At 40.0% G+C, this 24,478-nt stretch overlaps 1 protein-coding gene across 4 annotated transcripts in view; it reads left to right on the forward strand.

Annotated features, from left to right (window-relative positions):
* CDH20 (cadherin 20) overlaps nt 1-24,478 on the forward strand; it is a 222,350-nt gene that overhangs the window by 176,313 nt on the left and 21,559 nt on the right. For all 4 annotated transcript variants that reach the window (XR_001753187.2, XR_001753186.2, NM_031891.4 and 1 more), the window contains exon 7: nt 18,225-18,478. Coding sequence is in view for 2 of the 4 variants with exons in the window: in NM_031891.4 (NP_114097.2) it covers nt 18,225-18,478 (254 nt within the window). In the remaining 2 variants the exon portion in view is untranslated. The remainder of the gene's footprint in view (nt 1-18,224; nt 18,479-24,478) is intronic.

Consider the following 24,478-nt stretch of genomic DNA (forward strand, 5'->3'; position numbering starts at 1 on the left):
GAGGGAGACCAGCTGAGAAGCTATTGCAGTAATCCAGGTAAGAGATGATGAGGGTTTCACCTAAGTAGTGGGAATGGAGGTGATAAGAAGTGGTCAGAATCTGTACATATTTTGAAAGCAGAGCCAACAGGATTTCCTAAAAACGTGGATGAGGATATGGAAGAAAGAGAAGAGTCAACCAAGCAACAAGAATGGAATTGCCATTAACTGAGACAGGGAAGTCTGCAAGTAGAGCAGGTGGCAGGGGTGACAAGTATTGGAATTCAGTTCTGGACATACATGTGACATTTCTAGAGTCTATTAGACATCAAGTAGAGACATGTCATGGCTTTGGTTATAAGAGCGAGGAGTTTGTAGAAGGGTCCTGCACTGGAAATATGAATCTGGGAATCATAAGCATATAGATGGTACTTAAAGCAAATAAAACAAATGAGATTCCAAGGGACTGAGCATAGACAGAAAAAGGACAGTGAAACGAGCCCTGAGGCACACCAACATGAAGAGGTCAGGGGAAGTGTAAGGACAGGCAAGGAGACTGAGGGGCGACCAGGGAGGCAGGAGGATAATGGAGGAAGTGCAGTGTCCTGAAGGCATGAAGAACGTGCTCCCAAGGGATGGAGTGATCACCTGTGACAAATGCTGCTACAGGTCAAATAAGAACATCAGGAATTCACCACAGACTTTAGGAACATGGAAGCCACTGACAACCTTGACAAAAACCACAGTTATAACATTAAAATGTAACTCAAGTTAATGGGTGTTTATAACTTTTTTCTATGCTATTTGATAGAACTGAATTAACACTGCTTCAGAAGGGAATAAGGGACCAGTTCATATGTTTGTTCTGTATTTATTTAAGATGCAATCAATCACAGCAAAGGAACAGAATCACAGCAAAGGATCCAGAATTCCACCAACCAGAAATCTTTCTATCCTGTAAACAATGACCTTGACACAATGCAAAAGGCTGAGATTGACTTCTAAATCATCAAATAAATCTAGATGTAATTAAAATACTATAATTTCTTATTCTCATTCTTTGAGAATTAATAACACATGCTAGAATTATAATAGGTGATTAAAATAACAATACTATTTTGGTATATGTCATAGGTTCCCCTACTATGTGGCATGCCTCAAGTAAACAATAATACATTGCTAACCATAACTAGTAACTGTAAATAAGGGAAATGCTCAAATTTTTGAATTATTGGGTTTTTTCTTTCTTTCTTTCTTTCTTTTTTTTTTTTTGTTTATTTGTTTGAACAGAGTCTCACTCTGTCACCCAAGCTGGGGTGTGGTGGCACAATCATGGCTCACTGCAGCCTTGACCTCTTGGGCTCAAGCAATCCTTCCACCTCACCATCCTAACTAGCTGGGACTATAGGCATGTGCCATCACAGCCACCTAATTTTTGTGTTGTTGTTTGTTTGAGACAGGGTCTCTCTCTGTCACCCAAGCTGGAGTGCAATGGCATGCTCATGGCTCACTGCAGCCTGTAGTCCCAGCTACTCAGGAGGATGAGGTGGAAGGATTGCTTGAGCCCAAGAGGTCAAGGCTGCAGTGAGCCATGATCATGCCACAGCCACCTATTTTTGTTGTTGTTGTTTTGTTTTGTTTTTGTAGAGACAAGGTCACCCTATGTTTTCCAGGCTGGTCTCAAACTCCTGAGCTCAAGTGGTACTCCTGCCTCAGCCTCCCAAAGGGCTAGGATTACAGGCATGAGCCACCGCAACCAGCTTTACTGTTTCTTTAGTACGAAAACTCTATTCAAACAATTAAGCAACCAGAAAAAGAACTTTTGGGATTCTCAATATTTAAATGTTATCTTATGTCTTAAAATAATGTCTGAGATAATTCTAAATAATAAAATATTAATTTATGTTAGATTATCACAATATAGTTTAGACTGTATTACAAGCCATTTGTTTTAAAAAGTCTATTACCTGTAACAACTCTGTCTCTGAAAGAAATCTCAAAATGTGTTTTCTTCAGCTCCCTTACCTGCAGAAAAGATGAAGCCTCTTAAGACAGAGTACTGTTTTTCACTGTCATTACTAAAACGATATCCATGTTTAATCAAAATACATATCAATTTTGCCAAGGTCACTTTGATTTCTCTTCTGAACTTATGAGCTGCCAGAAAATGGAATTAAGAAAAAGGTCAATAAGTTGGGTAGATGGACAAATCACATATAATAAATATTTTAGAGGCCACTGACAGCTCAGTCTACGCCTTTGCAACAACATTCACTCAGATGTCTGCTCCACGCCCATCTTCCCACTTTGTCATTAATAATGTCATATAAAATTGAAACAAAAGTTCTGCTTTTGATTTATTTCCCTTAGGCCTATTATTTGTCTAAGAAGCCCATACTTTTTCAAAAAGAGGAATTGATAGAATTGGGTCTTCAGGACCCCACACTGATTACTACCCAGTACCTTGGGTCTTTTTAGCTTTTAAGTAATCAATCAGTCGATTTTCAGTCTCTTAAATGCTTGAAGTATAACTTGAAATATATAATTTTCAGGATGTTCTTTATTCTGAATAAGCATGATGTACCATTTTCTAGTCTTCTGCATATCTTCCATCTTACGACAAGAAGAAGCAATTGTTTAGAGTCCATTCTCTTCTTAGGCAGGTCATAAAGAATAAAAATTCTATATTTCATCAAATCTGAGATGTCATGAATTATAAATCTCATCATTGTCTTATGGGTCATTTAAGAACAGTTCTTGCCAATTTAAATAATACAATACTTTCTTATTTCTTAGTTTAGTGTCTATAAAGTACTCTCGTAGGCACAGTTAGACAAATTTGTTTCACCAATGTTAGATTCACTCCATGCCGCTGTTTCCATGCCATTCTCCCTACACAATAAATCTTGTTTCAATGCCAAATCATAATATAATATATTTAAAGACATTTTAATGTGTCCCAGAGATTCTGGTATGTTGTGTCTTTGTTCTCGTTGGTTTCAAAGAACATCTTTATTTCTGCCTTCATTTCGTTATGTACCCAGTAGTCATTCAGGAGCAGGTTGTTCAGTTTCCATGTAGTTGAGCGGTTTTGAGTGAGATTCTTAATCCTGAGTTCTAGTTTGATTGCACTGTGGTCTGAGAGACAGTTTGTTATAATTTCTGTTCTTTTACATTTGCTGAGGAGAGCTTTACGGCCAACTATGTGGTCAATTTTGGAATAGGTGTGGTGTGGTGCTGAAAAAAATGTATATTCTGTTGATTTGGGGTGGAGAGTTCTGTAGATGTCTATTAGGTCCGCTTGGTGCAGAGTTGAGTTCAATTCCTGGGTATCCTTGATGACTTTCTGTCTCGTTGATCTGTCTAATGTTGACAGTGGGGTGTTAAAGTCTCCCATTATTAATGTGTGGGAGTCTAAGTCTCTTTGTAGGTCACTCAGGACTTGCTTTATGAATCTTGGTGCTCCTGTATTGGGTGCATATATATTTAGGATAGTTAGCTCTTCTTGTTGAATTGATCCCTTTACCATTATGTAATGGCCTTGTCTCTTTTGATCTTTGTTGGTTTAAAGTCTGTTTTATCAGAGACTAGGATTGCAACCCCTGCCTTTTTTTGTTTTCCATTTGCTTGGTAGATCTTCCTCCATCCTTTTATTTTGAGCCTGTGTGTGTCTCTGCACGTGAGATGGGTTTCCTGAATACAGCACACTGATGGGTCTTGACTCTTTATCCAATTTGCCAGTCTGTGTCTTTTAATTGGAGCATTTAGTCCATTTACATTTAAAGTTAATATTGTTATGTGTGAATTTGATCCTGCCATTACGATGTTAGCTGGTTATTTTGCTCGTTAGTTGATGCAGTTTCTTCCTAGTCTCCATGGTCTTTACATTTTGGCATGATTTTGCAGCGGCTGGTACTGGTTGTTCCTCTCCACATTTAGCGCTTCCTTCAGGAGCTCTTTTAGGGCAGGCCTGGTGGTGACCAAACCTCTCAGCATTTGCTTGTCTGTAAAGGATTTTATTTCTCCTTCACTTATGAAGCTTAGTTTGGCTGGATATGAAATTCTGGGTTGAAAATTTTTTTCTTTAAGAATGTTGAATATTGGCCCCCACTCTCTTCTGGCTTGTAGGGTTTCTGCCGAGAGATCCGCTATTAGTCTGATGGGCTTCCCTTTGAGGGTAACCCGACCTTTCTCTCTGGCTGCCCTTAACATTTTTTCCTTCATTTCAACTTTGGTGAATCTGACAATTATGTGTCTTGGAGTTGCTCTTCTCAAGGAGTATCTTTGTGGCGTTCTCTGTATTTCCTGAATCTGAACATTGGCCTGCCTTGCTAGATTGGGGAAGTTCTCCTGGACGATATCCTGCAGCGTGTTTTCCAACTTGGTTCCATTCTCCCCATCACTTTCAGGTACACCAATCAGACGTAGATTTGGTCTTTTCACATAGTCCCATATTTCTTGGAGGCTTTGCTCATTTCTTTTTATTCTTTTTTCTCTAAACTTCCCTTCTCGCTTCATTTCATTCATTTCATCTTCCATTGCTGATACCCTTTCTTCCAGTTGATCGCATCAGCTCCTGAGGCTTCTGCATTCTTCACGTAGTTCACGAGCCTTGGTTTTCAGCTTCATCAGCTCCTTTAAGCACTTCTCTGTATTGGTTATTCTAGTTATACATTCTTCTAAATTTTTTTCAAAGTTTTCTACTTCTTTGCCTTTGGTTTGAATGTCCTCCCTTAGCTCAGAGTAATTTGATCCTCTGAAGCCTTCTTCTCTCAGCTCGTCAAAGTCATTCTCCATCCAGCTTTGTTCCGTTGCTGGTGAGGAACTGCGTTCCTTTGGAGGAGGAGAGGCGCTCTGCTTTTTAGAGTTTCCAGTTTTTCTGTTCTGTTTTTTCCCCATCTTTGTGGTTTTATCTACTTTTGGTCTTTGATGATGGTGATGTACAGATGGGTTTTTGGTGTGGATGTCCTTTCTGTTTGTTAGTTTTCCTTCTAACAGACAGGACCCTCAGCTGCAGGTCTGTTGGAATACCCTGCCGTGTGAGGTGTCAGTGTGCCTCTGCTGGGGGGTGCCTCCCAGTTAGGCTGCTTGGGGGTCAGGGGTCAGGGACCCACTTGAGGAGGCAGTCTGCCCATTCTCAGATCTCCAGCTGCGTGCTGGGAGAACCACTGCTCTCTTCAAAGCTGTCAGACAGGGACATTTAAGTCTGCAGAGGTTACTGCTGTCTTTTTGTTTGTCTGTGCCCTGCCCCCAGAGGTGGAGCCTACAGAGGCAGGCAGGCCTCCTTGAGCTGTGGTGGGCTCCACCCAGTTCGAGCTTCCTGGCTGCTTTGTTTACCTAATCAAGCCTGGGCAATGGCGGGCGCCCCTCCCCCAGACTCGCTGCCACCTTGCAGTTTGATCTCAGACTGTTGTGCTAGCAATCAGCGAGACTCCGTGGGCCTAGGACCCTCGGAGCCAGGTGCGGGATATAATCTCGTGGTGCGCCATTTTTTAAGCCCGTCGGAAAAGCGCAATATTCGGGTAGGAGTGACCCGATTTTCCAGGTGCTGTCCGTCACCCCTTTCTTTGACTCGGAAAGGGAACTCCCTGACCCCTTGTGCTTCCCAAGTGAGGCAATGCCTCGCCCTGCTTCGGCTCGCGCACGGTGCACGCACCCACTGACCTGCGCCCACTGTCTGGCACTCCCTAGCGAGATGAACCCGGTACCTCAGATGGAAATGCAGAAATCACCCGTCTTCTGCGTTGCTCACGCTGGGAGCTGTAGACCGGAGCTGTTCCTATTCGGCCATCTTGGCTCCTCCCCACCAAATGTCCAACAATGATAGACTGGATTAAGAAAATGTGGCACATATACACCATGGAATACTATGCAGCCATAAAAAATGATGAGTTCATGTCCTTTGTAGGGACATGGATGAAATTGGAAATCATCATTCTCAGTAAACTATCGCAAGAACAAAAAACCAAACACTGCATATTCTCACTCATAGGTAGAATTGAACAATGAGATCACATGGACACAGGAAGGGGAATATCACACTCTGGGGACTGTTGTGGGGTCGGGGGAGGGGGGAGGGATAGCATTGGGAGATATACCTAATGCTAGATGATGAGTTAGTGGGTGCAGCGCACCAGCATGGCACATGTATACATATGTAACTAACCTGCACAATGTGCACATGTACCCTAAAACTTAAAGTATAATAATAATTTTAAAAAAAAGACATTTTAGAAGGCAATAAAGCTCAACATGTGCAGTACCAACAATGTGTAGAACTCCCCTAAAGTACAACATGGACAGCTTTGACTAGGTCTGGCTTGCATGGGCAGTAACAACTACTGCTTAGAAAGATCCCTTTGCCTCCCTTTGACACTAGGGCACTTATAAGGTGTTATCAATTGGAGAAGCAACGCTATTTCTAAAATATCAAAATATGAAAAACTGTGCATCTTACTTTACTGAAATACATTAATAAAATCTGCATATACTATCACTCAACCAGTAAATGTTAATACTCACATTGGGAAACTTTTTGCACTGTTCAATGTAACAATTTTTTTAGGTTTTTGCTACGCTTTGAGTTTCTGGTTTTGCTAGGCAGTGGGGAATAAAAATCTGACTAAGTCATAGCTTTTGCCCTTGAGTATGGGGAGTGGGATCAACACAGAAAGAAATATTTGTAATACAAAAGAAAAGCTATAAAGGAAGTATAATAGTGTGCTGTGAGAACAAAGAAGGGAATACTTAATCCTCCTTAATTAGTAATTGAAGTTTCATTACTATTTTGTGCCATAATTTTCATGACTCAATTTTTAAGGATATAATGGCTTTTTGTTTTTGTATCCTCTAACTTGAAGAAGTTTCTTGAATTTGGAAATTGGATTCTCAGATATTATTACTTTTTTATTTTCTATTATGAATACAGAAATAAATAATTATTTGATATTTAAAATAAAAAGGACACAAACTATTCAAGAGGAAAAAGCCAAAACTCATTATCAAGTGTGGGCAATTTAAATGTTAAGAGCTGAGCAGAGTGGTTGCAGCTTCTTAGGATGGAGGTGGGAGGATCTCTTAAGCCTAGGAGTTTGAGACCAGCCTGGGCAACATAAGCAAGAGTTTGTGTCAGTACATAAATAATTAAATAAATAATAAAGTTTAGACAATTGAGGGCAATGTTTTGTTTCCATTTTAAATGTGGAAGTGAGGGAGACAATAATCTTAGATAGTTTTAAAGTCTTAAGTAACTTACTTAAAAAGAATTTCAGTAATAATTAAAAACTCACGCTAGTGCTTTCAACAGATGCTGGAACAATTGGATACCATTTGCAAAAAAAATAAAGAAATAAACCTCAATTATACCCCCACAAAAAAACTCAAAATGAATCATGCACCTAAATGTAAAAACCTAAAGCTATAAAATTTCTAAAAGGAAACTTAGGAGAAAATCCTTGCAATCCTGATTGGACAAAGATGTATTCCATATTACATCAGAATCCCAACCTACCAAAGAAAAAGTAAGACTTCATCAAAGTTAAGAGTTTCTGCTCTTCAAAGGACACTGTTGTGGCAAGATGGCTGAATAGGAAAAGCTCCAGTCTGCAGCTCCCAGTGAGATCAATGCAGAAGGCAGGTGATTTCTGCATTTCCATCTGAGGTACCCGGCTCATCTCAATGGGAGTGGTTAGATAGTGGGTGCAGCCCAGGGAGGGCAAGCTGAAGCAGGGTGGGGCGTTACCTCACCTGGGAAGTGCAAGGGGTCAGGGAACTCCCTCTCCTAGCCAGGGGAAGCCATGGGGGATTGTGCTGTAAGGAACAGTGCATTCTGGCCCAGATATTACGCTTTTCCCATGGTCTTTGCAACCAGCAGACCAGGAGACTCCCTTGGGTGCCTACGCCTCCAGGGACCTGGGTTTCAAGCATAAAACTGGGCAGCTGTTTGAGCAGACACCGAACTAGCTGCAGTTTTTTTTGTTGTTGTTGTTGTTTTGTTTTGTTTTGTTTTGTTTTACCCCCAGTGGCACCTGGAATGCCAGTGAGACAGAACCATTCACTCCCCTGGAAAAGGGGCTGAATCCAGGGAGCCAAGTGGTCTAGCTCAGTGGATCCCACCCCCATGGAGCCCAGCAAGCTAAGATCCACTGGCTTGAAATTCCTGCTGCCAGCCCTGCAGTCTGTAGTCGACCTGGGACACTGGAGCTTGGTGGAGGGAGGGGGGTCCACCATTACTGAAGACTGAGTAGGCAGTTTTCCCCTAACAGTGTAAACAAAGCCACCATGAAGTTCAAACTGGGCAGAGCCCACCGCAGCTCTGCAAAGCCACGGTACCTAGACTGCCTCTCTAGATTCCTCCTCTCTGTGCAGGGCATCTCTGAAAGAAAGGCAGCAGCCCCAGTCAGGGGCTTATAGATAAAACTCCCATCTCCCTGGGAAAAAACACCTGGGGGAAGGGGTGGCTGTGGGCACAGCTTCAGCAGACTTAAATGCTCCTGCCTGCCAGCTCTGAAGACAGCAGTGAATCTCTCAGCACAGCACTCAAGCTCTAAGGGACAGACTGCCTCCTCAATTGGGTCCTTGACCCCCGTGCCTCCTGACTGGGAGACACCTCTGAGCAGGGGTCAACAGACACCTCATAGAGGAGAGCTCCAGCTGGCATCCAGCAGGTGCCCCTCTGTGAAGAAGCTTCAAGAGGAAGGATCAGGCAGCAATCTTTGCTGTTCTGCAGCCTCCGCTGGTGATACCCAGGCAAACAGAGTCTGGAGCGGACCTCCAGCAAACTCCAGCAGACCTGCAGCAGAGGGACCTAACTGTTAGAATGAAAACTAACAAACAGAAAGGAATAACATTAATATCAACAAAAACAACATCCACACAGAAACCCCATCCAAAGTTCACCAACATCAAAGACCAAAGGTAGATAAATCCATGAAGATGAGGAAAAAACAGCACAAAAAGGCTGAAAATTCCAAAAACCAGAATGCCTCTTCTTCTCCAAAGGATCACAACTCCTCACCAGCAATGGAACAAAACTGGATGCAGAATGAGTTTGACAAACTGACAGAAGTGGGCTTCAGAAAGTGGGTAATAACAAACTTTTCCGAGCTAATGGGGCATGTTCTAACACAATGCAAGGAAGCTAAGAACCTTGAAAAAACATTAGAGGAATTGCTAACTAGAATAACCAGTTTAGACAAGAACATAAATAACCTGATAAAGCTGAAAAACACAGCATGAGAACTTCGTTAAGCATACACAAGTATCAACAGTCAAATTGATCAAGTGGAAGAAAGGATATCAGAAATTGAAGATCAACTTAATGAAAAAAGCATAAAGACAAGATTAGAGAAAAAAAGAATGAAAACATATGAACAAAGCCTCCAAGAAATATGGGACTACATGAAAAGACCAAACCTACATTTGTTTGTTGTACCTGAAAGTGACGGGGAGAATGGAACCAAGTTGGAAAACACTTTTCAGGGTATTATCCAGGAGAACTTCCCCAACCTAGCAAGATAGGCCAACATTCAAATTCAGGAAATACAGAGAACACCACAAAGATACTCCTCGAGAAGAGCAACCCCAAGACACATAATCGTCAGATTCACCAAGGTTGAAATGAAGGAAAAAATGTTAAGGGCAGCCAGAGAGAAAGATGAGGTACCCACAAAGGGAAGCCCATCAGACTAACAGTGGATCTCTTTGCAGAAACCCTGCAAGCCAGAAGAAAGTGGGAGCCAACATTCAACATTCTTAAAGAAAAGAATTTTCAACCCAGAATTTCATATCCAGCCAAACTAAGCTTCACAAGTGAAGGAGAAATAAAATCCTTTACAGACAAGCAAATGCTGAGACATTTTGTCACCACCAGGCCTGCCTTAAAAGAACTCCTCAAGGAAGCACTAAATATAGAAAGGAAAAACTGGTACCAGCCACTGCAAAAACATACCAAATTGTAAAGACCATTGACACTATGAAGAAACTGCAACAACTAACGGGCAAAATAACCAGCTGGCATCATAATGACAGGATCAAATTCACACATAACAATATAAACCTTAAATGTAAACAGGCTAAATGCCCCAATTAAAAGACACAGATTGGCAAATTGGATAAAGAGTCAAGATCCATCAGTGTGCTGTATTCAGGAGACACATCTAACATGCAAAGACAAACACAGGCTCAAAATAAAGGGATGGAGGAATATTTACCAAGCAAATGGAAAGCAAAAAAAAAAAAAAAAAAGTAGGGGTTGCAATCCTAGTCTCTGATAAAACAGACTTTAAACCAACAAAGATCAAAAAAGACAAAAAGGCCAGGCGTGGTGGCTCACTCCTGTAATCCCAGCACTTTGGGAGGCCAAGGTGGGTGGATCACGAGGTCAGGAGATCAAGACCATCCTGGCTAACACGATGAAACCCCATCTCTACTAAAAATACAAAAAATTAGCCAGGCGTGGTGGTGGGCACCTGTACTCCCAGCTACTCGGGAGGCTGAGGCAGGAGAATGGCGTGAACCTGGGAGGCGGAGCTTGCAGTGAGCCTAGATCGTGCCACTGCACTCCAGCCTGAGTGGCAGAGCGAGACTCCGTCTCAAAAAAAAAAAAAAAAAAGACAAAGAAGGGCATTACAGAATGGTAAAGGTATCAATGCAACAAGAATAGCTAACTATCCTAAATATATATGCACCCAATACAAGAGCACCCAGATTCATAAAGCAAGTTCTTAGAGACCTACAAAGAGACTTAGACTCCCACACAATAATAGTGGGAGACTTTAACACCCTACTGTCAATATTAGTCAGATCAATGAGATAGAAAATTAACAAGGATATTCAGGACTTGAACTCAGCTCTGGACCAAGCAGACCTAATAGACCTCTACAGAACTCTCCACCCCAAAATCAACAGAATATACATTCTTCTCAGCACGACATCACCAATCTAAAATTGACCACATAATTGGAAGTAAAACACTCCTCAGCAAATGCAAAATAATGGAAATCATAACAAACAGTATCTCAGACCACAATGCAATCAAATTAGAACTCAGGATTTAAAAACTCACTCAAAACACACACAACTACATGGAAACTAAATAACCTGCTCCTGAATGACTACTGGGTAAATAACTAAATTAAGGCAGAAATAAGCTTCTTTGAAACCAGAACAACATACCAGAATCTCTGGGACACCGCTAAAGCAGTGTTTACAGGGAAATTTATAACACTAAATGCCCACAGGAGAAAGTGGGAAAGATCTAAAATCAACACCCTAATATCACAATTAAAAGAACTAGAGAAGCAAGAGCAAATAAATTCAAAAGCTAGCAGAAGACAAGAAGTAACTAAGATCAGAGCAGAACTGAAGGAGATAGAGACACAAAAAAACCTTCAAAAAAATCATTGAATCCAGGAGCTGGTTTTTTGAAAAGATTAACAAAATAGATAGATTGCTAGCCACACTAATAAAAAAGAAAAGAGAGAAGAATCAAATAGACACAATAAAAAATGATAAAGGGGATATCACCACTGATCCCACAGAAATACAAACTACCATCAGGGAATACTATAAACACTTCTATGCAAATAAACTAGAAAATCTAGAAGAAATGGATACATTCCTGGACACATACACCCTCCCAAGACTAAACCAGTAAGAAGTCGAATCCCTGAATAGACCAATAACAAGTTCTGAAATTGAGGCAATAATTGAGGCCTACCAACCAAAAAAGCCCAGGATGATACAGATTCACAGCCGAATTCTACCAGAGGTACAATGAGGAGCTGGTAGCATTCCTTCTGAAACTATTCCAAACAGTACAAAAAGAGGAACTCCACCCTAACTCATTTTATGAGGCCAGGATCATCCTGATACCAAAACCTGGCAGAGACACAACAAAAAAAGAAAATTTCAGGCCAATATCCCTGATGAACATCGATGTGAAAATCCTCAATAACATACTGGCAAACTGAATCCAGCAGCACATCAAAAAGATTATCCACCACGATCAAGTTGGCTTCATCTCTGGGATGCAAGGCTGGTTCAACATATGCAAATCAATAAATGTAATCCATCACATAAACAGAACCAATGACAAAAACCACATGATTATCTCAATAGTGCAGAAAAGCCCTTCAATAAAATTCAATACCCCTTCATGCTAAAAACTCTAAATAAACTAGGTATTGATGGAATGTATCTCTAATAAAAGCTATTTATGACAAACCCACAGCCAATATTATACTGATTGGGCAAAAGCTGGAAGCATTCCCTTTGAAAACTGGCCCACGACAAGGATGCCCTTACTCACCACTCCTATTCAACACAGTATTGGAAGTTTTGGCCAGGGCAATTGGGCAAGATAAAGAAATAAAGGGTATTTGAATTGGAAAAGAGGAAGTCAAATTGTCTTTGTTTGCAGATGACATGATTGTATATTTAGAAAACCCCATCATCTCAGCCCAAAATCTCCTTAAGCTGATAAGCAACTATAGCAAAGTCTCAGGATACAAAATCAATGTGCAAAAATCACAAGAATTCCTATACACCAATAATAGATAGAGAGCCAAATCATGAGTGAACTCTCATTCACAATTGCCACAAAGAGAATAAAATATCTAGGAATCAAACTTACAAGTGATGTGAAGGACCTCTTCAAGGAGAACTGCAAACCACTGCTCAAGGAAATAAGAGAGGACACAAACAAATGAAAAAACATTCCATGCTCATGGATAGGAACACGCAATATCGTGAAAATGGCCATACTGCCCAAAGTAATTTATAGATTCAATGCTATCCTCATTAAGCTACCACTGACTTCTTCACAGAATTAGAAAAAACTTCTTTGAATTTCATATGGATCCAAAAAAGAGTCTGTATAGCCAAGACAATCCTAAGCAAAAATAACAAAGCTGGAGGCATCACAGTACCTGACTTCAAACTATAGTACAAGACTACAGTAACCAAAAAAGCATGGTACTGGTACCAAAACAGATATATAGACCAATGGAACAGAACAGAAGCCTCAGAAGTAATGCCACACACCTACAACCATCTGATCTTTGACAAACCTGACAAAAACAATCAATGGGGAAAGGATTTCCTAGTTAATAAATGATGTTGGGAAAACTGGCTAGCCATATGCAGAAAACTGAAACTGGACCCCTTCCTTATGCCTTATACAAACATTAACTCAAGATGGATTAAAAACTTAAACATAAGACCTAAAACCATAAAAACCCTAGAAGAAAACTTAGGCAATACCATTCAGGACATAGGCATGGGCAAAGGCTTTGACTAAAACACCAAAAGCAATGGCAACAAAAGCCAAAATTGACAAATGGGATTGAATTAAACTAAAGAGCTTCTGCACAGCAAAAGAAACTATCATCAAATTCAACAGGCAACCTACATAATGGGAGAAAATTTTTGCAATCTATCCATCTGACAAAGGTCTAATATCCAGAATCTACAAGGAACTTAAACAAATTTACAAGAAAAAAAAAAACAAACAACCACATCAAAAAGCGGGCAAAGGATATGAACAGACACTTCTCAAAAGAAGACATTTATGCAGCCAACAAACATGAAAAATAGCTCATCATCACTGGTCATTAGAGAAATGCAAATCAGAACTATATTGAGATACCATCTTATGCCAGTTAGAATGGTGATCATTAAAAAAGTCAGGAAACAACAGATGCAGGAGAGGATGTGGAGAAATAGGAATGCTTTTTTACACTGTTGGTGGGAGTGTAAATTAATTCAACCATTGTGGAAGACAATGTGGTGATTCCTCAAGGATCTAGAACCAGAAATACCATATGACCCAGCAATCCCATTACTGGGTATATACCCAAAGGATTATAAAACTTTCTACTATAAAGACACATGCACACGTATGTTTATTACAGCACTGTTCACAATAGCAAAGACTTGGAACCAACCCAAATGCCCATCAATGACAGACTGGATAAAGAAAATGTGGCACATATACAATACGGAATACTATGCAGCCATAAAAAAGGAGGAGTTCATGTCCTTTTCAGGGACATGGATGAAACCACCATTCTCAGCAAGCTAACACATGGACAGAAAACTAAACACTGCATGTTCTCACTCATAAGTGGGAAGTGAACAATGAGAACACATGGACACAGGGAGGGGAATATCACGCACCAGGGCCTGTCAGGGGTCGGGGGCTAGGGGAGGGATAGCATTAGGAGAAATACCTAATGTAGATGACGAGTTGATAGGTGCAGCAAACCACCATGGCACAGGTATACCTATGTAACAAACCTGCACGTTCTGCACATGTATCCCAGGATTTAAAGTATAATAATAATAATAATAATAAAGGACACTGTTAAGAGAATGAAAAGACAAATCACAGACTAGGAGAAAATATTTGCAAATCATACATCTGACAATGGACTTGAATATAAAATATACAAAGACCTCCTCAAGAAGACATAGAAAGATGCATCACGAGGCAGTAAGGAAGTGCCAATCAGAACTACAATGAGATACCACTTAACGCACACTAGGATAGATAAAAATTTTAACACTGGCAAAACCAAGGGCTGACAAAGATGTGGGGTGACTAGAGCTTTCATATACTCCTGGTGGGAATACAAACTGGTACTGCCTTTCTGAAAATTCATTTGGAAGTTTCTTATAAAGTTAAAAATATATTTACTATACAATCCCACAACTCCAGTCCTAGGTATTTACCCCACTGAAATGAAATTTTATGCTCACACAAAAACCTCTATGTAAATATTAATAGGTTTACTCATAACCGTCAGAAATTGGAAAAAAACACAAATGTATCTCTAGTGAAGAATGGATAAATCAACTGTTGTGCATCCATACAACAGAATACTACGTGGAAATAAAAAAAGAACAAACTCACCAGGCATAGTAGCTCACGCCAGTAATCCCAGCACTTTGGGAGGCCAAGGCCGAGGTGGGCCTATCACCTGAGGTCAAGAGTTCAAGACCAGCCTGGCCCACATGGTGAAACCCCGCCTCTACTGAAAATACAAAAATTAGCCAGGCGTGGTGGCACACACGTGTAGTCCCAGCTACTTGGGAGGCTGAGGCAGAAGAGTCGCCTGAACCCGGGAGGCAGACGTTGCAGTGAGCCCAGATTATGCCGCTGCACTCCAGCCTGGGTAACAGAGTGAGACGCTGTCTAAAAAAAAAAAACTCCTCATTCATGCAACATGGATGAATCTCAAATGCATCATGCTAAGTGAAAGAACCCTAACTCAAAAGATTACATACTGAATGTAGTTTATCTGACATTATATGACATTCTTGCAATAGAGACAGAACATACATGAATCAGTGTTTGCCAGGGGCTGGGTGGGAGGGGAGAGGTTGACTACAAAGGGGCACAGAGAGGGTCACGGGGGTTTTGAAACAGCTCTATAGCTTGATTATCACGGTAGACACATGACTGAATACACTAGTCAAAACCTGCCAACTTTATACTAAAAAAGAAATTTTAATGTATGTAAATATATAAATGTATGTAAATATCTTATTTTTTAAAACATACAAATTTCACACAAAATTAGAAAAACAATTTAAAATTAAAGGGAAAACAAGTTTTGCCTAGCTCAAACCTAACACAAACAACGGTGTCCACAACTGTGTTACAAATACATAAAGAATTTTAAGAGCGTATAAATGTAATTTACCAGGAAAGAAAAATGTTTCGATTTAGGGAGCAAGCATTAAATGAATTGGTAAAATAGTCCTTCAAATATATCATTAATCTGACTGGCAGATTTCCCTGTTTATGAAAACCTTGCCTTTTCAATGACAACTAGGGAGGCAGGCTGGCTGGTGGAGATGGGCGTCTGGGTTTGAATGGGGCTTCTTGGTTTGGATGGAAATGGCTGGCGACTCATGAAACGGGAAGCACTATGTCTGCTACTAAGTAAATGGTAAACAAGCAGTAACCCAACAACAGCAACAAAACAAAAAAAACTTTATTAAAATTTGAAAATAACAATTATATGAATGCATTAAATTATTACATGTACCCTGAAAATATGTACATCTATTATGTATCCATTTTTAATGTAATTTTTTTGAGACAAGGTGTCTCCGTCACTCAGGCTACGGTGCAGTGGTGCCATCATAGCTCACTCTAAACTGAGCTCAAACCATCCTCCTGCCTCTGCCTCCCAAGTAGCTGGGATTACAGGCACATGCCACCACACCCAGCTAATTTTTTTTTTTTTTTTTTTTTTTTTGGTAGCGATGTAGGTCTCATTAGGTTGTCTTGGCTGGTCTTGAAATCTTGGCCTCAAGCGATTCTCCCACCTCAGCTTCCTACATTGTCAGGCTTACAGGCATGAACCACTGCTCCTGGCCAAAAAGTTGACTTTTTTTTTTTTTTTTTTTTTTTTGAGACAGAGTTTCACTCTTATTGCCCAGGCTGGAGTGCAATGGCTTGATCTCGGCTCACCGCAACCTCCACCTCCCGGGTTCAAGTGATTCTCCTGCCTCAGCCTCCCGAGTAGCTGGGATTACAGGCATGTGCCACCACACCCAGCTAATTTTTGTATTTTTAGTAGAGACGATTTTTTTTAAGTAAGAAAATAACAAATCTAGTTAAAGCAGCACCTACCGATATTTTTTTCTGAAAAGCCAAGCAGTTGTTTAAATGGGTACATGCCTCTCTCTAACATGAAATGTGCTGCCATTCAACATATTTTATGAAAAAAGTGATGTTTAGCTAGAAAAATGTAAGTTATTGCTATGTTGACACACAACTTTTAAGTTCTAGTAACTGCTTTGCTATCCACTTTTATTTTGTGGGACTTAACATTCCGAGATGTTCTGAAATACTTGTTGCTTAAAACACACATGTTCATCAGCTTTAAACAACAATAGATTAGTCTTCAGAAATAGCATTTTAAGTTCACGTTCTGCCCTGGAGCACTGTATTTATTTTGAAAAAAAAAATTCTGAAGATAGGAATAAATCAAAATAGAGAACAACCAAAAAAATTGTATTTTACGCGATGGAATTTTATAGACAAAATTAAAGTCCTTGTGGAAGAGCTGTAACCACGTCAGCATACTCCAGGCTTCTGAGCTTCCTGCATCTTGGGTTCTTCAACTCTAAAAGGTCAAATAAGGGTTTTAAAGGGGATTGTCAGCAGGGTGTGGTGGCTTATGCCTGTAATCCCAGCACTTTGGAAGGTTGAGGTGGGTGGATCATCTGAGATCACGAGTTCAAGACCAGCCTGACCAACATGGTGAAACCCTGTCTCTACTAAAAATGCAAAATTAGGCAGGCATGGTGGCACATGCCTGTAATCCCAGCTACTTAGGAGGCTGAGGCAGAAGAATCGCTTTAACTTGGGAGGTGGAGGTTGCAATGAGCTGAGATCACACTGTTGCATTCTAGCCTGGGTGACAGAGCGAGACTCCATCTCAAAAAATAATAGTAACAATAAAAGGGATTGTGCATGATGAACTAAATATACAAACATTGATCTGACACAGCACCTGAGAACCTTGTGTGGCACAGTTTCTTGAAAAGAATCAATATTGCCTTTGTACTCAAGAATAATTTTTTAAGGAAAAAAAAAAAGCCTAGGCCTCAGTTGCATGAATATTCTAATAGATAGATAGATAGATAGATAGATAGATAGATAGATAGATAGATAGAATAGATATATGGAATATATATGGAAGTTTGTGTTTGGAATACAAACTTGCTCTTAATTGTTGTGAAGTCTTTTCAAATGAGCAAGCACCTCTAAAGATAATGTGACCAACCGTCCTGGTTTGCCTGGGACAGAATAGAGTCCTAGGAAATGAAACTTTTGATTTTAGAACTGAGACAGTACCAGGCAAATTGGGCCCAGGAGTGAGGGGATTCCTGGGATCTCTCTAAAGACCAGGCTGATTGAAGGGTAGACAAGTTAAAGCCAAGTTTGCCCAGAATAAACGGGCAAACTATTATCAAACTGGCTTCCTTAACTATCTCTGCAGTGACTGATATCTTATCTTCTTTACCCAAAGTGTTGAAACTGACATTAAGACCAAGAACTACAGAACAAGACAAAGATTTCCCTTCTTTCCCGTTTACCTTTTTCCCACTTAATGAATTGGAGAATCTTCCCACCAGCCATCAATATTGGGCATCCTTTTGAACGTTGACATATTTTGAATCTTGAACCTCAGTGGCGAATCAATTTTCCTGTCATTGCTTTTCAGCCCCTGAGTTTTGAAAGCAAGAAAAGCTACACCTTAAAGGTGGAGGGAGCCAATCCTCACCTAGAGATGCGTTTTCTGAACTTGGGCCCATTTCAGGACACAACAACAGTGCACATCAGTGTGGAAGACGTGGACGAGCCCCCTGTGTTTGAACCTGGCTTTTACTTTGTGGAGGTGCCTGAGGATGTGGCGATTGGAACAACCATACAGATCATTTCTGCCAAGGACCCAGATGTGACCAACAACTCAATCAGGTTTTTCCACAGATTTCACCTTTTCCTTATATGCTGGAATCTTCCCTTCCCTTGTATGTAATTTTCTAGCACTTTTCCCTTTGTTTCTTTCTTCTCTATCCCATTTCTGGAGACTCTCCTCTTTGAGTTTTTTGTGTTGTTTTTTTTTTTTTCCCTTAAATAACATGGCCTTGCCAGGTTGTTTAGAAGTGTCATTATATTTATAACTCACTTTCAATTGGTTGAGACACACACACACACACACACACACACACACACACACCCCTTAGTTCTCAATCATGGTCCTGTTGACATTTGGGGGTGGGTAATTCTGTGTTGTTGTGGAGGGGTTCTCCTGTGCACTGAACCATGTTTAGCAGCATCTCTGGCCTTTACGCACGAAATGCAGTAGCACTCTCTGAGTTGTAACCACCTAAAATGTCCCCAGATATTGCCAAATGTCCAGGGAAGTGGTGTAAAATCACCCCAGGTTGAGAGCTACTGATTCAGATAAAGTATAATCAGACACACAGATGTCAAAATGTTAAAATCCATTGACTCTCAGTGGTAAACATAAAGGAAATCATCATGTATTCTTCCATCTTTTATGAATCTTTGACATGTTTTACTTTTTAAAACTGGGGAAAACAATATATACTACATATATTCCACATACTATAGAAAGAGCAGACATAGAAACTACTTCTGTTGTCAGCAACTTCAATGCCTTGTAGACTGGCCAGACAGATGGGTCTTTGTATGGCAATACCAAGTATCTATCTCTCCAAAGCATGTTTTGGAATTAAAGATTCCAACCAAGATGCTTCCGCTCAAGAAGATGAGAACTGCTCTTACAGTCATGGCCATCTCTCACCAACTGGAACCAAAGTGCAAATAGTTGATGGACAGGTTGACACCACAACCTTCCAGAGCAGCTGCCAAACCTATGAAGCGTGACACAAAAGATCAGAATTCCAAGGATGTCGGAAGCCATCTGTCACATTAATTGTTGAAAGCCACACAGTAAAATGAATCTGGGGCTTTAGTGCAGATAACACATTTTAAACATACCGCACTTTATCAAATGCCTTTTCCGTCAGCTGGCTGCTTCTCTCACCTAGTGCTGTTTTGTATTTAATGAAAACGTGCTTCTGTAGTTTAACAAGAACGGCTTTCTCCAGAGAATAACCATACTAGGGGCAAATTCACTTCCTCTAACCAACCAGTAAACATTTTACATGTTCAGGCATTAAAATGGCAAAAACGATTTTATTTGAATTCTGATATTTGATTTTTTCAAAGGCAACTAATGTATTATATAACAACTTTATAGATGTTGTATTTCAACCTGAAGCTTTTTAAATATAAACTAGGATGGGGAGAGATTAGTCAACCATATTATCCCCAAAGCAATCACAATGAAAACAAAACATTGTGTGTATTTTCAGAAGCCAAGAATATATACCTTCTGATCCTAATTTATTAATTATATATGTATTAATCCACCATAGGCTAATTAATCTATTCCTGTAACAAAAGACCCTATGAGAGAAACTTTAAAGAATAAAACTTTCACCACTGGCATGAAGTAAAATGAGGTAGACAAAATGAAGAAATCTTGTCTGGCTAACAGAAAATGCTGCTTCAGATGATGACCAATTGAAAACTATCAGTTGGCCAGCACATCCGTTAGCATCAGGGAGGTTCATATTGGAGTGTCTGGCTACCCCACTAGAACCCAGGCAGGATGAATGCAAGAGTGAACAGGCCAGAGGCACAGGGCAGGGTCCACTGGGCTGTTCTGGGGCAGGACTGCAGATCCTGAGATGAAAATTGGTGAGAACAAGGCCACAAGGCCAGAGGTAATAAGACACGGCTCAGGCACAGGGGGCAACGTGAAATTCCAATGATCAGATCTGGGGATAATTCTCCCTCTGCATTTTGGTTACAAAGAAAGAGAGGAATTCTTATTGCTAGGTATGAGGTCCCTGACTCTTTGTACTATCCAATAGCAACAAAGAATGGTCCCTGGACCCAAGAAGAACACTGGGGGTCCTAGACTCTCAGAGGGAAAAGCACTTAAAACTCAATGAACTCCCTGGCTCTCATTTCAAAACCCATTTGGGAATTCCTTTCTTCTGTTATCTTTCACCAAACTGCTCTTCTTATCCTTATTTTTCATATTAAAGTTACTTTCTTTTAAAATAATGTGTATAGTTATATGCTGCATGGCTAATTCATCATCTGCATTTTTGTTACAAAGAACAAATGAGATTTATATTCTTAAAGAGAAAATATCTATCAAATAATTCAAAAAATCAACACATCACCGGAAGTTAAAATGTTACAGATAAAAGGCCATTTAACAAATTATTAGGACTTTTATAATCTCCTTTCTAGAAAGTTGATGGTGTGTTCAGGAATATATGCTGGTCCTCACTTATTTATAATCCCCAAAACAAAATCACCAGATTTAGTGATATTTACATGAAAAGACAATGTTTGGATCCCCTGAATTTTTAATACATGCTCAAGGACTTTTTGGCAGGCAGGATACTGAGCCATTTGGCAACTGAAAGAGGCTTCTGCTGATGTGGAAACTGCCTGCCCCCCAGTTCCTTCCCAGAATGTGTGTGGATTTAACCAGCCTGCTCCTGACACCCCACCTCCAAATTGCTCCCAAATTCAGAGGATGTCCTCAGCTAAGTGACAAGCAGGGAGTCCGGAAAGCACCAGCTACTGCTGGCTCTGGGCAGCTTTGTACCTGCATGATGCCGATTCTGCTCATAGGAGGTTAGAATGTAATGGTTAAGAAAAGAAAACCACCTACATAATTCACGAGTGTGTCCCAATTTCCTCGTTTTCCATCTGTATCTACACCTTTAATTTTTCTCCTGCCTCCTGAAAATTAACCCAGCATCCTATTCAGGGAAACAAAGGCTATTATTCCCTCAATTCTGGCCCCATTGGGGAAATCAGAGAGGGATTCCCCTCGATGAGGGAGGCTTCTCTGAGGAAGGCTCCTGGTGTGTCAGCCCGGCAATGCTGTCAGGGGTCCTGTGGGTTAGTTATTTCTATCACTCCCTCTCCCATGCGACATTCACTATATTGCCGTAGGTCTGAGTATAGAAAGCTGCTTTCTCATAGGCTGCCTCTCCCCTTGGCATCATGCCTGCAGCCTGGAGAGCTGCCATCAGGGACATGGCTCCGTGGACCACATGGCTGGCTCTCTGCATGTGTCAGGAGCTGAAAGAGAAGACTGTCATGAGCCAATCGGTGTTTTTTTATTTTATATTAGAGAAAATTCAATTCTGAAAATAGTAAACTTTAAAAGTAAATAACAATTTATGCTTAAAAAGTAATAATCTAGTCCATTTTAAATGAACTCTGAAGCATGTGTTTTTCTTTATTAAAAAGGCAACTATTCGCTGTCACTCTGATGTGATCTGGCTCTGTGTCCCCACCCAAATCTCACCTTGAATTGTAATAATCTCCATGTGTCAAGGGCGGGACCAGGTAGAGATAACTGAATCATGGGGGTGGTTTCCCCCATGCTGTTCTCATGATAGTGAGTGAGTTCTCACGAGATCTGATGGTTTTAAAAGGGGCTTCCCCCTTCCCTTGGCACTTATTCTCTCTCCTACCACCATGTGAAGGACATGTTTGCGTCCCTTTCCACTACGATTGTAAGTGTGCTGAGGCCTTCCCAGCCATGCTGAACTGTGAGTCAAACAAACCTCTTTCCCTATAAATACCCTGTCTTGGGTATGTCTTTATTAGCAGTGTGAGAACGGACTAATACTCGTATCTTTAAAAGATAAAGTCTTGTTTCCTTAGACAATCTCTTATAGACTATGTGTCAATAAGGCAGCATGGCCTGGTGGCTGGGAGCAGAACCTGCAGCCAGACTGCCTGGGCTTGATTCCCAGCAATGTGACCTTGGGCAAGGGACCTAACCTGTCTACTCCTCAGACTTCTTACCTGTAAAATAAGGATCATAATTGTGCCTACCTCATGGTGTTATTGTAAAGATTAAATGAGTCCATATAGGTGATGTGTGCTGAGCAGTGCCTGGCTTACAGTGAATGTTCATTAAATAGGGTCACAGGCAGAGAGAAACATTAATTTTCTTCCTTAAATTTCCTAACTCTTAGGGAGTCATAACTTAAATGATTCTGATTTCTCTAGCTCTTACTCATCAGCTTTCTCTTTAATTCCTAATTCCTAAATAGCCATCCTGAATCTCTGCAGAAAAAAAATATACATTGTATTTGATACAATACATTTTACCAACGATATATATGCACAACTGTATACATGTGTGTATTGTATGTATATATATATATATATATATATACACACACACACACATATATATAAAAAACAAAAGCTTTACATCAATATTTACCCTTACTGCATGTGATAGTTTGGCATGCATATATTCTATTCTATTTCATTTTCTTTCTATGCTAATCATAACCCACCAAATTGATTTCACAATCCACTAAGCTACATCTGAAAAACAATGCACTATAGTAAAGAAAATGTTTATTCCCTCCAAAATTGCTGCTTCTCCGTCTCTACAACGTTAAGATATGGATTACAGTTGCTGGCAACTTTAAATCAAATTTTGAACCCAATATATTTCCCAGTCCCTATTTAAATAATTTTTAAGAACATAGTAGTTATAATTTTGTATATATAGCTTCAAATCAAACACAGTAGTTATAACTCCATAAAGATGGCTTCAAGTCTTACCTCTTAAATTATTACCTGTGTAATTGCATAAAAGTGACTTCAGCTAGTTGCAGTGGCTTATGCCTGTAATCCCCACTACTTGGGAGATTGAGGCAGGAAAATCACTTGAGGGTAGGAGTTTGAGGAGTTTGAGGCCAGCCTGGGCAACACAGGCTGTTTAAAAGACTTTGTCTTTTAAAATAAAAAATAAAAAAAATTTAATTATCCAGGTGGGGTGGTACCTGCCTCTAGTTCCAACTACTCAGGAGGCTGAGGCGGAAGGATCACTGGAGCCGAGGAGTTTGAGGCTGCAGTGAGTTTGGTCATGCCACTGCACCACTCCAGCCTGGATGACAGAAAGAGAACCCATTTCTAAAGAAAGAAAAAAAAGTGACTTATTTAAGCCTCAGTTTCCTTATCTGTTGATTGGGATAATAACTACCTCCCAGAGATGTTGGAAAAATTTTAAAAGAAGCTGTGTATTAAGTACATAGTAAAGTGCCTGATATTCAGCAAATGGCAGCTATTGTAATTACTGGTCTTTTAAAAACAGGATTGTTTTCTTGTTATTGAGTTATTTATATATTTTGGATATTAGCCCCTTATTTTATGAAAAGAATATTTTCTCCCAATCTGTGGGTTGTCTCTTCACTCTGTTGTTTCCTTTGTTGTGCAGAAGTTTTTAGTTTGATACAATCCCATTCATCTATTTTTGCTTTTGCATGTGCTTTTGGGGTCATATCCAAGAAATCATTGCCCAGACCAACATTGTGGAGCTTTTCCCCTAAGGTTTCTTCTAGTAGTTTGATGGTTTCAGGTCTTAACATTTAAGTCTTTAATCCATTTTAAGTTGATTCTTGTATAAGGGGTCAGATAAGGGTCCATTTCCATTCTTCTGCATGTGGGTATCTAGTTTTCTCAACACTATATTGGAGAGACTGTCCTTTCCCCATTATGTGTTCTTGGAATCTTTGTCAAAAATCAGTTAATTCACTGTAGACCCATGAGTTTTTTTCTCAGCTCTCTATCCTATTTAGTTGGTTGATGTGTCTGTTTTAATTCCAGCTGTTATAATTACTATAGCTTTGTAATATTATTTCAAAATTAGGACAAATGACCCTGTTAAAAAAAATGTGCAAAATGCCTAAACAGACATTTCTCAAAAGAAGACATACAAATGACCAACATACATGAAAAAATGCTCAACATCCCTAATCATCAGGAAAATGCTAATTAAAACCACAATGAGATATCACCTCACAACGTTAGAACGTCTGTTGTCAA

Source organism: Homo sapiens, chromosome 18 (assembly GCF_000001405.40).
Source record: "Homo sapiens chromosome 18, GRCh38.p14 Primary Assembly".
Taxonomy (NCBI): Eukaryota; Metazoa; Chordata; class Mammalia; order Primates; family Hominidae; genus Homo; species Homo sapiens.